At 45.0% G+C, this 12,140-nt stretch overlaps 1 protein-coding gene and 1 pseudogene across 29 annotated transcripts in view, besides 3 other annotated features; one reads left to right on the top strand and one right to left on the bottom strand.

Annotated features, from left to right (window-relative positions):
• PPP2R5C (protein phosphatase 2 regulatory subunit B'gamma) overlaps nt 1–12,140 on the bottom strand; it is a 167,420-nt gene that overhangs the window by 74,561 nt on the left and 80,719 nt on the right. The gene's annotated exons all lie outside the window — the stretch shown is intronic.
• Nucleotides 1,273–1,382: an enhancer, noted in NCBI's record as "active region_9055". NCBI's record gives its function as "activates an Ori minimal core promoter by ATAC-STARR-seq in GM12878 lymphoblastoid cells {active_cell/tissue: GM12878}" and the evidence as "EXISTENCE:reporter gene assay evidence [ECO:0000049][PMID:35858748]".
• Nucleotides 8,855–8,954: an enhancer, noted in NCBI's record as "active region_9054". NCBI's record gives its function as "activates an Ori minimal core promoter by ATAC-STARR-seq in GM12878 lymphoblastoid cells {active_cell/tissue: GM12878}" and the evidence as "EXISTENCE:reporter gene assay evidence [ECO:0000049][PMID:35858748]".
• Nucleotides 9,296–10,659, top strand: NPM1P20 (nucleophosmin 1 pseudogene 20; annotated as a pseudogene).
• Nucleotides 9,595–9,744: an enhancer, noted in NCBI's record as "active region_9053". NCBI's record gives its function as "activates an Ori minimal core promoter by ATAC-STARR-seq in GM12878 lymphoblastoid cells {active_cell/tissue: GM12878}" and the evidence as "EXISTENCE:reporter gene assay evidence [ECO:0000049][PMID:35858748]".

The following is a 12,140-nucleotide window of genomic DNA, read 5'->3' as shown; positions in this document are numbered from 1 at the left end:
TGTTCTAAAAGGCAAGTGAATTTCAATTCTTCTAGGCTTCCAGACAGGGTGTTTCTGTAGAATTTTTGCTTATAGACCATAAGCAGATATGCCTGTGATTATAATCTCATGAGCTCTTTTTTTCATTTCTTTTCTTCATTTAAAAAATCTCATTTGACTATTTTTTTTTTAAAAGAATTTTACTGTTTTAAAAAAAACCTGTAACAATGAATTGGGTAAAAAAGTAAAAAACTGCATCCTTGGGCCCTATCAAATATTTCCATTTTTTTTTGAATACAAGTTAATTTAACAACTTCTTCATCAACATATTTTAAAAATCTTATTTTCTGCTGCGTTGACAGGACTGTACCACGGGGAAACAAAAATGGGTGGAGGTGGTGGAAGAATATGCTTCATACCTTTACGTATTCTGATTTGTAACAGTAAAGTGTTATTACAAATGCCTCATACTTGTATAGATCATTTTAGCTTTTCCCATTATTTAATTAATATGTTATTGTGAATTTGAGACAATTTCCAAATATTTCAAGATAAATCCTCAATCATACCCCGGAGCAATATACATGGACATACTCATGCAAAACCCGTAGGAGAAGAGGAGAAAAGACCCAGGGCATCCAAAATGACAGAAAGAAGGTGGAGATAAGAATGTGCTATTCTGGCCAGGCGCGGTGGCTCACGTCTGTAATCCCAGCGCTTTGGGAGGCCGAGATGGGTGGATCATCTGAGGTCAGGAGTTCGAGACTAGCCTAGCCAACATGGTGAAACCCCATCTCTACTAAAAAATACAAAATAATTAGCTGGGTGTGGTGGCAGGTGCCTGTAATCCCAGCTACTTGGGAGGCTGAGGCAAGAGAATCGCTTGAACCCGGGAGGCTGAGGTTGCAGTGAACTGAGATCACACCACTGTATTCCCACCTGGGTGACAGAGCAAGACTCTGTCTCAAAAAAAAAAAAAAAAAGAAAAAGAAAATGAAAAAAAAGAAAAAAAAAGAATGTGCTATTCTTTAAAAAACGTATTTACTAAAGGGAAGCCTGTTATTAATCAGTGATAAATAGAGATGTTTAACAAAGATCTCCTTTAAAGTAGGCTGGGAGCATTCCTGTCTAGCTTTATACATGCTCCTGGTCCCAACAGTCAGGGAGGTACAGAAATTGAATGCGTTTCACTGGTCAGTGATATCTAGAGTGCAGGGTGAGCCTGGGGGTTACTCAAGATTGGAACGTAGGAAGAAAACAGCAGGGTGTCTATTTATACTTTCTTCTACAAAGAACAAGAAATTACAACATACTAATATTCAACAGACAAATTTACACGCAGTGGAGGTGTGTGCTGGAGGTTGTTTTTGCTGCCAGGCAAGCGTGGACAGAAGAGTTTGGAGACCACTACTGGGCAGTGAAGGCTTTTGTAAATGAGTCCTAAACGGCGAATACCACAGCCAACTTCACCGATGTTGCTAGCAACATGTACCTCAATTACAGAAGGGAGTGAGAGCTGTGACATACATGCTTAGCCACCAAATCATAGAATATGAGGAAGTAAGGCTGAATTACTAAATTGTCACTATGCACCAAGAGGCATCATGTAAACTGTGGATAGGAAACTGATTGAAAAAAAGAAGCCAAGCCCACATTTACATGAAAAGTCTTGGTGGTCAAAAGAAATGCTCCAAGACACCATAAAGGACCAACTTTCAGCATGGCAGCTGCAGAAAGACAGCAGAACCAGGACTTTCTGCTGCACAGATGTTGGGGCCTTCCAAATAAGCATTACCCCGATGGAGCAAGGAGACACAGCTGCAAAAACTACCAGCCTAGACAGTGACAACTCAAAAGATACCCCAGAATGTGCAGGCTCACAAGGGTGGGAAGTACTCCCTGGTCACTCACGTAATATTCACTAAGCAGCTGAAGCAGCCAAGTTTCAAACACAGAGACCACAGCGTCATCAGGTCAAGCAGCACCCTCAGCTTCCATGCACGTTTTTATTTTTTTTAACTAGAGACAGGGTCTCACTATGTTGCCCAGGCTGGAGTACAGTGGTATAATCCTGGCTCACTGCAACCTTGACCTTCCAGGCTCAAGCCATCCTCCTGCCCCAGCCCTCTGAGTAGCTGGGACTACAGGCATGCACCCACACCCAGCTAGTTTTTAAATTGTTTATAGAGACACAATCTCACTATGTTGGCCAAGGCTGGTCCTGAACTCCTGGGCTCAAGTGATCCTCCTGCCTCAGCCTCCCAAAAATGTTGGGATGACGGGTGTGAGCCACCATGCCAGCCCCAAGTGTATTCTTCCATGCAAGGTGCTCCCAGGGTCCTGGGGAGGTCTATGCAAGTCGCGAGCCCACAGACAAGAGATCTCACGCAAAACAGAAAGAAGCGCTCAAGCTCTCGGAAAGGCAGGAGCCAACATTTAGCGACGGTGCCATCTTGTCTTTCAAATGTATTTATTCTTAGTACAAAACGAGTAGGAACAAAGTTGAACTAACAACTTGGGGCAAATTTGGGATTCATCATTAATATGTACTAAATTCCACTCCCCTCTATGTCCCAGATGAGGAAACTTAGCAGAGGATGAGTTTCCCCCACCAAGTAAACAAAAGCTCAGCAGTTCTATTTTGTTTTTAAAGATAATATTCACATGCCACTTTTTGAAATGACCATTTCTCCATGACTTCTAGTGTCTCCTGTGTCCTAGAGCAGTGTCTGTGCAGGCAGGGCTCTCTCTCTTCTTGGCCACTGCCTCATCCTGCACCACCTGGAGTCTGAGTTTCTAGAGCCCTAGAAGACTTAATGTCTGGTTGATTCCTGCACCTGGTCCCTCCTCACGTTTTCACTGCTCATGGCCCTTTATATTTCCCATACAGATCTGGGGAGAACTTAAGAATTTGGCAGGATTGAGTCTTCCAATTCATGAACATGGACTGTTTCGCCAATTACTCAAGTTCTCTTTAAATGTCTCCCAATAAAGTCTTCTAATTTTCTTCTCAAAATGTGCAAAACATTAATTTTCAGATTTTATTCTTAGGTATTTGCTATGTTTTGATGTGATCGTCAATGGTATCTTTAAAAACACTTAATTTTCTAACTGCTGTTGCAATACAGAAAAAATGGTTTTTGAGTATCACTTTTACATGTAGCTATCTTGCTAAATCCCTCTGGTTTTCCTTTCATCTGCAAGTCCCCACATTGTTCTTCTCTTTCTTATCTACTGCGCTGACCAGGACCTCTGGGCAACGCTGAGAGGAGCAGTGAGAACGGCCCCTTGCACCCATCCCCGACTCAGAGGGGAGCTTTTACTAGCTAACCATTGATTTGATGCTTGCTCTAGCAGCCTGTGGATAACAGTTACCCGAGTAAGAAACTGACCTACGGATTCAATGCTATCCCAATCCATATTCCAACACACACTTCTGTGGAACTGAATACATGGATTCTAAAATGTATGTGGAAATGCAAGGGGTTAAGACTAACCAAGACACCCCTGAGAAGAACCAAGCTGGAGGACTTGCTGTTCCAGAAATCAAGACTTCCTGTAAAGCTTCATGAATGAAAACAGCCAGGCTCTGTGCTGTCACACAGGCTCATGCATAAATCGACACCTGACTTGTGACAGCAGAGGGTTGCAGAGGAGTGAGGAAAAGTCGGCCTTTCAACACGTTGTGTTGGGACAACTAGGTACACAGGGACAAAAAAGAAAGAAAAGAAAAGAAGAAAGAAAGAAAGGAAGCAACTGGATCAAATTATATACATATATCTACACTGAAATTAAACATTTTCCTTCATCAAGACATCCACAAGGATGAAAAGGCAAGGCACAGGATAGAACTATTTGAATACATATAACCAATAGACTCATATCCAGAATATATAAACATGTCCAATAACTCAGTAAGAAAACTTCAGAGTACAAATAGAAGAATAGGAAAAAGTCTTAATCAGGTTCTTCACAAAATAGATCCAAATGGCTAACCACGTATGAAGGGCTCGTCACTCTCATTAATAACCACCAGAGAAATGCAAATTAAAACCACTACGGACAACACCAAATAGTGCCTCAAGGAGCTGCTTTGTGGCTGGAGCCCGAACACCACCCATGGGCGGGGCAGTGCATTATCAGTGGTGTTGAGGATACACGAGGTTGACAGCCAGGACAGCACTCCTGGCATACCACCTCACGACACTCACATACACGTCCATCACAACCGAGGTAAAGGAATGTCCACAGCACAACGTCCTAACAGCTCAGACTAGAAACAACCAAATGCCCATCAGTGGTGGATTAGGTAAATGCAAATGCAGTCTATGTAACATTCCAAAGCGATAGAGATGAATGAAATACAGCTATACACAATATGGATATGCCTTACAAAATACTGTTGCATCAAAGGGGCAGATAAGGAGGATTTATTCAGTATAATTTCATTTATAGGAAGAAACAGGAATCCCTAAAACTATAAAAGACTTACAGGGGGCTTTTAGGGTGCCCAGCCTGAATGGTGGTTATGTGGGTATTTGCTTTATAATTATTCACTACACATTTGTTTCATATGCTTCTGTATGTGAGTTATATTTCAAATAACAAAGGCTAAAGATACATGCATATGGCTAAAAAATGAAAATGGAAAGAACCTAGTGAGACGTGAGTCTCCTTCCACACACCCACCCTCTGGCCTCCCTCTCTTCTCCCAACTCCCGCTGTTGCCAATCGGGGTGTCCCTGGGCTGCTCCAGGGGTACATTCGGCTGCACGATTGTCAGCCGTTTCCTGCGTGGTTTTAGATGCGTCAACACCGACGACCTCTAAACTCACCTGGATCTACCTGAGACCAGAAGACATACTCGCACTCACGAAATCCCAACAGTTTCTTTCTTTCTTTCTTTTTTTTTTTTGAGACAGAGTCTCGCTCTGTTGCCCAGGCTGGAGTGCAGTGGCGTGATCTTGGCTCTCGGCTTACTGCAACCTCCGCCTCCTGGGTTCAAGCGATTCTCCTGCCTCAGCCTCCTGAGTAGCTGGGACTATAGGTGCTCGCCACCACGCCTGGCTAATTTTTGTATTTTTAGTAGAGATGGGGTTTCACCACATTGGCCAGGCTGGTCTCGAACCCCTGACCTTGTGATCCGCCTGCCTTGGCCTCCCAAAGTGCTGGGATTACAGGTATAAGCCACCACGCCCGGCCCCCCAACACACTTTCTAACGTTCCTCTACATAGTGTGTCATGCTGAAGAATTTAAGCTTCTAATTTTTTGATTGAAAAACTTTCCCAATTAAGATAAGGATCTAGGTGATCTCTAATTTTTTTCTATTTATATAAAGATTCTCTCTTAAAAGAAAGATCAGTAATTATGCTTGCAAATGGATAAAATAAAAACTGTGGTATGACATGCTTATCAGATCTAAAGCATGGGTGGGGAGCAATTGGGATATAAGAACTAAAGTCTCAAGGCCGGGCGCAGTGGCTCATGCCTGGCTCATGCCGGGCACAGTGGCGCAGTAATCCCAGCACTTTGGAAGGCCGAGGAGGGCAGATCATGAAGTCAAGAGATTGAGACCATCCTGGCCAACATGGTGAAACCCCGTCTCTACTAAAAATACAAAAATTAGCTGGGTGTGGTGGCATGTGCCTGTAGTCCCAGTTACTCGGGAGGCTGAGGCAGGAGAATCGCTTGAACCCAGGAGGCGGAGGTTGCAGTGAGCTGAGATCACGCCACCACACTCCAGCCTCGCGATAGAGACTCCGTCTCAGGAAAAAAAAAAAAAAAAAAAGAGCAGCCCCAACCATGAGGACACAGCCTGCATCACTAGGAAGTATTTCGCAAACGCATCCCATACATACACGCCAGGCACTGTGCTAGGCACTGATGATAGATACATTAAAAGACAGTATCTGATCTAAAAGAAAACTACCAGAATATGGGAGGTGATGAATTCTGCTGGGAGACATGCGGATGAAGGCTCAGGGAGAACAGGAACCACAGCTGAGGAGAGGCTGCAGTTGCTGGGAAGGCACTGAAGGCTGCACTAAATGGGGAGACTGTCTAGAGGCACTCACTTGTCAATCACAGGGGCCTGAAGTTACAGGAGATATTAATCAGGCTGCATTCTCCTGGAAAATCAATTTTCCTCAAAAGACAGTATCTTCAAAACGAGAACAATTGATAATAATTTATATACCCTACATTAATCATACTGGATGCTTAATTATAAATTTTCTCAGAGGAGAACTTTGTCTTTTTACCATTTTTATCCTCAGCATCTAAAACTGGCCAGCACATAGTGGGACCACAGATGTCTGCTGAATGAACAGATCCATCTGAGGAAAACAAACTCAGGTAATTTAACTGAGAGGTACCGTTTGAAATATATTTATATCAAAATAACGCCACCTGTATCAGAGTAGAATGCAACATCTACATAAACTTTTAAGATAAAACTCAGGTCTTCAAAGAAACTGCTCTTAGTAGGCATTTCTCTTCTGTGGAATCTCTGCAGTCAGAGGTGCTTTGATAGAAAAATCTAAAAAGTTCTGTGGGAAGAGAGATTTGAATCAGAGGATTTTTAAGCAGATGAGCGATCCAACTTGATCTCTGTTCAGGAGAGACATGGGTGAACTGAAACCAAGAAGCCAGAGGTAGGCAGTTCTCCTTCAGAAGAGAAGGCCCTTAGCTACAGCCCATGAACCCAGCCCTCAGCCCTCTTCCAGGCAAACCCGACACACAAGCTCTGCCTTCCCCGGTACAGGCCTGCCAGCCCTCATTTTTGGTAACAAGGATCTCTTACTCTATAAATCCAAGCTTCTACAACTTGAAAGCTCAATAAACATAACAATGAAATACTTCTATATATCTACAAAATGTCAAGACTAACTTCTACCCTGACCCTTAGCACCTACATAACTTCAAAATTGGGTTAATCTTCTCGTACTGTTTGTAACTCGGTAGATGACTTCTGAAATTTACAATAAATCCTTCTTAATTTCAAAGTGCAAGTGTCTTATTTTATCCATTCTAATACATACATTTTTCATATTAATGTCTCTAAAATCAAGTTACATCTTTCACTTTCCTTTTTCTTTTTTTGGTAATTCTTTAAAAATGGTTTGGACTACAATGAACAGTGCCTTAGGTGTGATGAGATATGGTATCTTAGCTTCCCTGCACACATGTGCCTCTGCTCAGGTTTCTAAATGGATGTTATTTCATTCAAATGTAGCCAATGTCCCCGCCTCCCTCCGGGTCTGTCTGTACCACCCAATGTGAAGGAGTTGAAGCAAGCTGGCTTCAATGTGCCCACTCTAAGTGTTCCCGGTTCCAGCATGTGGCTGCCTGTAGCTAGGTCTGTTTGGCGGGGCTCCATGAGAAACCCGGAGAGGTGGTGCACAGCCCTTCCTGTCACCAGGGATGCTGAAACCATCTTTCCACTCCGTGTGGGTGGATTTCGGGCAAAATGAACAGTACCGCCAGGTACACTTCATTTGGGTATAAATTTGGTAACGTGGGGCTGGTCTGCAGTTTCTACACTGACACTCGTTTACATGTTTGGATAGAGACAACCCATGGCTCACAGTCCACCATAACGTTCCAATGCTGTGGTTTATCCAGCTTTGTTGTACACATGTACCAAGGTTACATTATCTTTCCTGGAGAGGAAGATCTGCTAACCCCAGGACCAAGCTGGGGTTCCCTCACAAACCTGAGCTGCTCCTACCTTAAACCCTTTGGGTTTTTCTGATTTGTTAGCCTGGTTTTATTTGCATATGAAGAAAGGGGTAGTATTCACTTCCCCCACAACTTTCTACCACCAACCCCATCATCCCTTTCTCATGAAATTAACAGTATAATTTAATAAGGCAGATATTTTTCATTTCAAAAGGCAGTGGTTGAAGCTAAATTCTAGTTCATTCATGCTTTCCGCCCATGAAGACTGGCAGCTTCTACCAGGGAATGGGTGGGGAAGGGTGGGGTGGAGTGGAGTGGAGAGGCGCCCCGGATGGAGAGAAGTCAGGCTGAAATAGGCAAAGGCCAGGAGAGGCTGCTTTCCTCGGAAAAGCTCTTCAGTGAATTTTTCAGTAAAGGGAGTCATATGGAAGAACAAACTGACTCCCGGTTCAGACTCTGCCAAATCAGAACATGGTAAAGTCATGAAATTATTCTCAGCCTCAGGTTCCTCAGCTGTAAAATCTCCTGTGGACACACATGCACATTCAGAATGAACCTTCACTCCGGCTGCAGGCAACAAGAGGAATTCAACGGTGTTAGCTGAATTGGAAGATTCAATTTTTTTTTTTTTTTAAACAGGGAAAGGTTGAGACAGGTCAAACAAACTCCTAGGGATAAAGATATAAATCCAGCACAGCATTATTTCCAGATACAGGCCATATTTCCCACATAGGACTCTAGTTCTAGAAAGCCTTGGGGAGAACAGGCACCCAGGGCACTGATTACTAAATGCTCAACACCCTTCGTGCAGCCCGTTATCGCTTCATCTTCCACTTTCACTAGCATGACTGGTGAAATACTGAATGTTAACAATATTACTGCACCTGGTGACAAGAAGCTCCAACAATGCAGTAGCTCATTTATCCAAAGAACAAAGGCAGGTACTGTCTCAGGAAAAGTAACAGCTCTTAACATTTGACAAGAAGATGTAATAAGTTCTTTTCAATTCCATCTTGAAATTGATTCCAGAACCTTCAATATGTTTACCAGCAGACAAAGCAGTGTAGAGGTGTGAAAAAGATACACTGAAAATACACACACTTTTCCAGGCCCTTTTTATGTTCTCTACTTCCTTTCTCCATGTCTCAGACAGAGGAGGTTCAAGTGCTTCCTTCTAGACACGAACTCTTGCTGAAACTTGGCTCTTCCTTCAAATGACGTCCAGCCCGGGGATGACAGCAGGGAGGGTCGGTGACAGACACAACCCAATGAGCATGCGGCCTGTGTGCCAGGACCTACCGGGCCCTGCGGTGCTGCCGGAGCTCCAGCCTTGCAGGGGCAGCCGGGGGATCAGGGCCACAGAGCAACACGGGTACCATGTCACGTGCCAGAAACCACGATATCAGAACTGTGTGCACGTGTGTGTCCAATCTCTGGGGAGGTGAGACAGAGAGAAACCAGTGCCAGACCGCTCCGGCCCCTCCCGCAAGCTGCCAGCCTCCTCGAACTTGTCAAATACCCACCGTTCCACTCTCTAAGATTCGAATTAGTTACCTGGTATTGGTATTAACCTACTTTGCGTTCTGGCCTCCACCTCACCTGGCCATCAACTCAAAAAAAAAAAAAAAACAAAAAAAACACCAAAAACAGATAATCACTTTAAGATGGATGATGATGAAAATGAGCACTAGCTATCTTTAAGAATGATCGTAGGGGCAAAGGATGAATTGTGCATTGTTGAAGCAGAGGCAATGAATGATGAAGGTAGTCCGATTACGGTAACACTGATGGCTTTGAAAACATCTGTACAGCCAAGGGCTTCCCTTGGGCTATGAAATACCACCACCTGTGGCGTTGTGGGTGAAGTGTGGTTCAGGGCCCGTGTGTATCAATGGATGGCACTTAGTAGCTGGGGAGGAAGATGCAGAGTCAGAGACAGGAGGATGTGAAACTCTTCAGAATATCTGGAAAGCGATCTCCCCCTGGAGGTGGCAGCAAGGTTCCACAGAAAAAAGTAAAATTTGCTGTTGCTGAAGATGATGATGATGATGATAAGGAAACTGAAGACAAATCTCCAGTGAAGAAATCTATACGAGATACTCTACCCAATCATGCACAACAATCAAACCAGAATGGAAAAGACTCCAAGTCACCAATGTCAAGAAAAGGTCAGGAATCCTTCAAAAAATAGGAAAATACTCCTAAAACACCAGAAGAACCTAGTTCTGCAGAAGACATTAAAGCAAACATGCAGCCAAGTATAGCAAAAGGTGGTTCTCTTTTCAGAGTGGAAGCCAAGAAAATCAATTATGTGAATGGCTTCTGGATGACTGACTAGGGGGCTATTCAAGATCTCTGGCAGGGCAGGAAGTCTCTTTAAGAAAATAAACAGTTAAAAATGTTCCATCTTATTTCGTATCTCTAACAGTTGATATCTGGCAGTCCTTTTTATAATGCAGAATGAGAACTTTCCCTACCATGTTTGATCAATGCTGTCCAGGTTCCATTGCCAAGAATATGTTGTTCCCAAATGCCAGTTTGTTTTAGATAGGGTCTTGCTCTGTCACCCAGGCGGGAGTGCAGTGGTGTGATCACAGCTCACTGTAGCCTCAACTTCCTGGGCTCAAGCGATCCTCCCACCCCAGCCTCCCAAGCAGTTAGAACCACAGGCACATGCCACCACTCCTGGCTAATCTTTTTATTTTTTTGTAGAAGACAGAGTCTTGCTGTGTTGCCCAGGTTGGTCTTGAACTCCTGGGCTCAATCAATCTTTCCCCTCTGGCCTACCAAAGTGCTGGGATTACAGGTGTGAGCCACTGTGCCCAGCCCAAAATGCCTGTTTAGTTATTAAAGATGGAACTCCACTCTCTGCTTGGTTTTAAGTATGTATGGTTTTAAGTAAGTATGATAGGACATAGTAGTAGCGGTGATCAGACACGGAAATGGTGGGGAGATAAAAAAAATACATGCGAAATAAAACTCAGTATTTTAATAAAGTAAAAAAAAAAAAAAAAGAAAAAAGACACATCACTCCCATCCATGCCCTCCCGAGCTAAGGCTGGTCTACCCATGCCAGGTGTGAGCAGGCACCACGGCCACGCTGCTCTCAGGGGACTGACCACACCTGGGAAGGGCTGGACATAGATGCATGACCTGGAGGATGATTCTGGGATAGAAGCAGGCGCCCCTCAGGTGGTGACTCACAGCTCCCCAGTACAGTACCCTCATGCCTGTCACCAGCACACCTGGGTGGGGACCCTGATGAGTGCACGCAGAGCACCCCGGTTGGGGCCGAACCCCAGCTTGCTCCTCACTCCCCTTTCCTCAGGATGCTCCAGTGGCCGCTCACCAGGCAGGAAAGCAAACCAACAAGCAACGTAGCCACTGAGAGCCCACGGGCGCTCCTGCCCTCTCCTCCTGTTTCAGTGGGGACTTGAGGGGGCAGGCTGCACCCGGAAACCTTGGCTTTCGATCGCTTTCTCAAAGGGCCCATCATATCACACTCCCTAAGTAACACGACTGTAATATGGCTGGCCGGTTATTCAAGAGGTTTACCAGCTAAAAGGTTCATTTTTCCACTGGAGAAGATACGTCACCTAAAGATTTGATATTTTTATTATTCATGGAAATGAGTAACATTCTAGTGTTTGGGTAAGTGTTGAAAGACAGGGGACCCTTCTCTACCCATAAGTCTGCGCTGCCACTGAACTTCTGTTTTCCTGACACAGCAGGGTTTGGTGGGGGGAACCTGCAGGTATAACGAGGGCTCTGGGGGGCCTCCGTGAGCTGGACTCTCCACAGGAGCCGCAAAAGGTGGCACTAGAAATCAGGTGCCAAGAAGCTCCATGGGGAGCTGAGAGCTCAGTGGTCTCTGAAGGAGGAGGCGCTCCCCACCTTCCAGACTAAGCCTAGGGCAGCCTGTGAGGGACTGCACGACTCCAGCCTCCTGGCTGTCCACCTGGCCCTGGAGCCCTGCTCCCTGACCTGGCCCCACTGCCCCAGTTGGCCTCAAAGGGTCCCCTTTGACAGGTGCTCCCCTCCCCTGCCTCCCAGAAGCATGGCCGATCCTCTGCCTTACTCTCTACGGCTTTTGTGTCTGCGACTGGAAGGTTTCGTTTCAAAAAGAACACCAACACCACAGTGACCGTGGGCAACCCCCTTTCCTCGCCCCACCTCCTCAGGTGAGGACTGACCGCTCAGCAGGGAGCCTCATCTCCGGAGGCACAGAGTGAAAGTGTCTGTCTGGACACGGAACGAGCCGGCCCCGTGTCTTTCAATGTGGAAGCTCAGTTGGGTGATCTGAGAGGTGGTGGCATTTGGGGAAACCTCCACAGGCTGTCCTCTAGAGTCTACTTTTCTGTACACAGTACTTCCTAGGACTTGCTCCCTATGGTCCAAGTTTTATAGCTAAACTAAAAACACTCAAGGCACAGCACTCTGAGGCCATTACTAGGCACAGTCGCCCCCTTCATTTCTAACT

Source organism: Homo sapiens, chromosome 14 (assembly GCF_000001405.40).
Source record: "Homo sapiens chromosome 14, GRCh38.p14 Primary Assembly".
In the NCBI taxonomy this organism is placed as follows: domain Eukaryota; kingdom Metazoa; phylum Chordata; class Mammalia; order Primates; family Hominidae; genus Homo; species Homo sapiens.
Note: the sequence above shows the minus strand (reverse complement) of the source record. Positions and strands in the feature narration are given on the sequence as shown.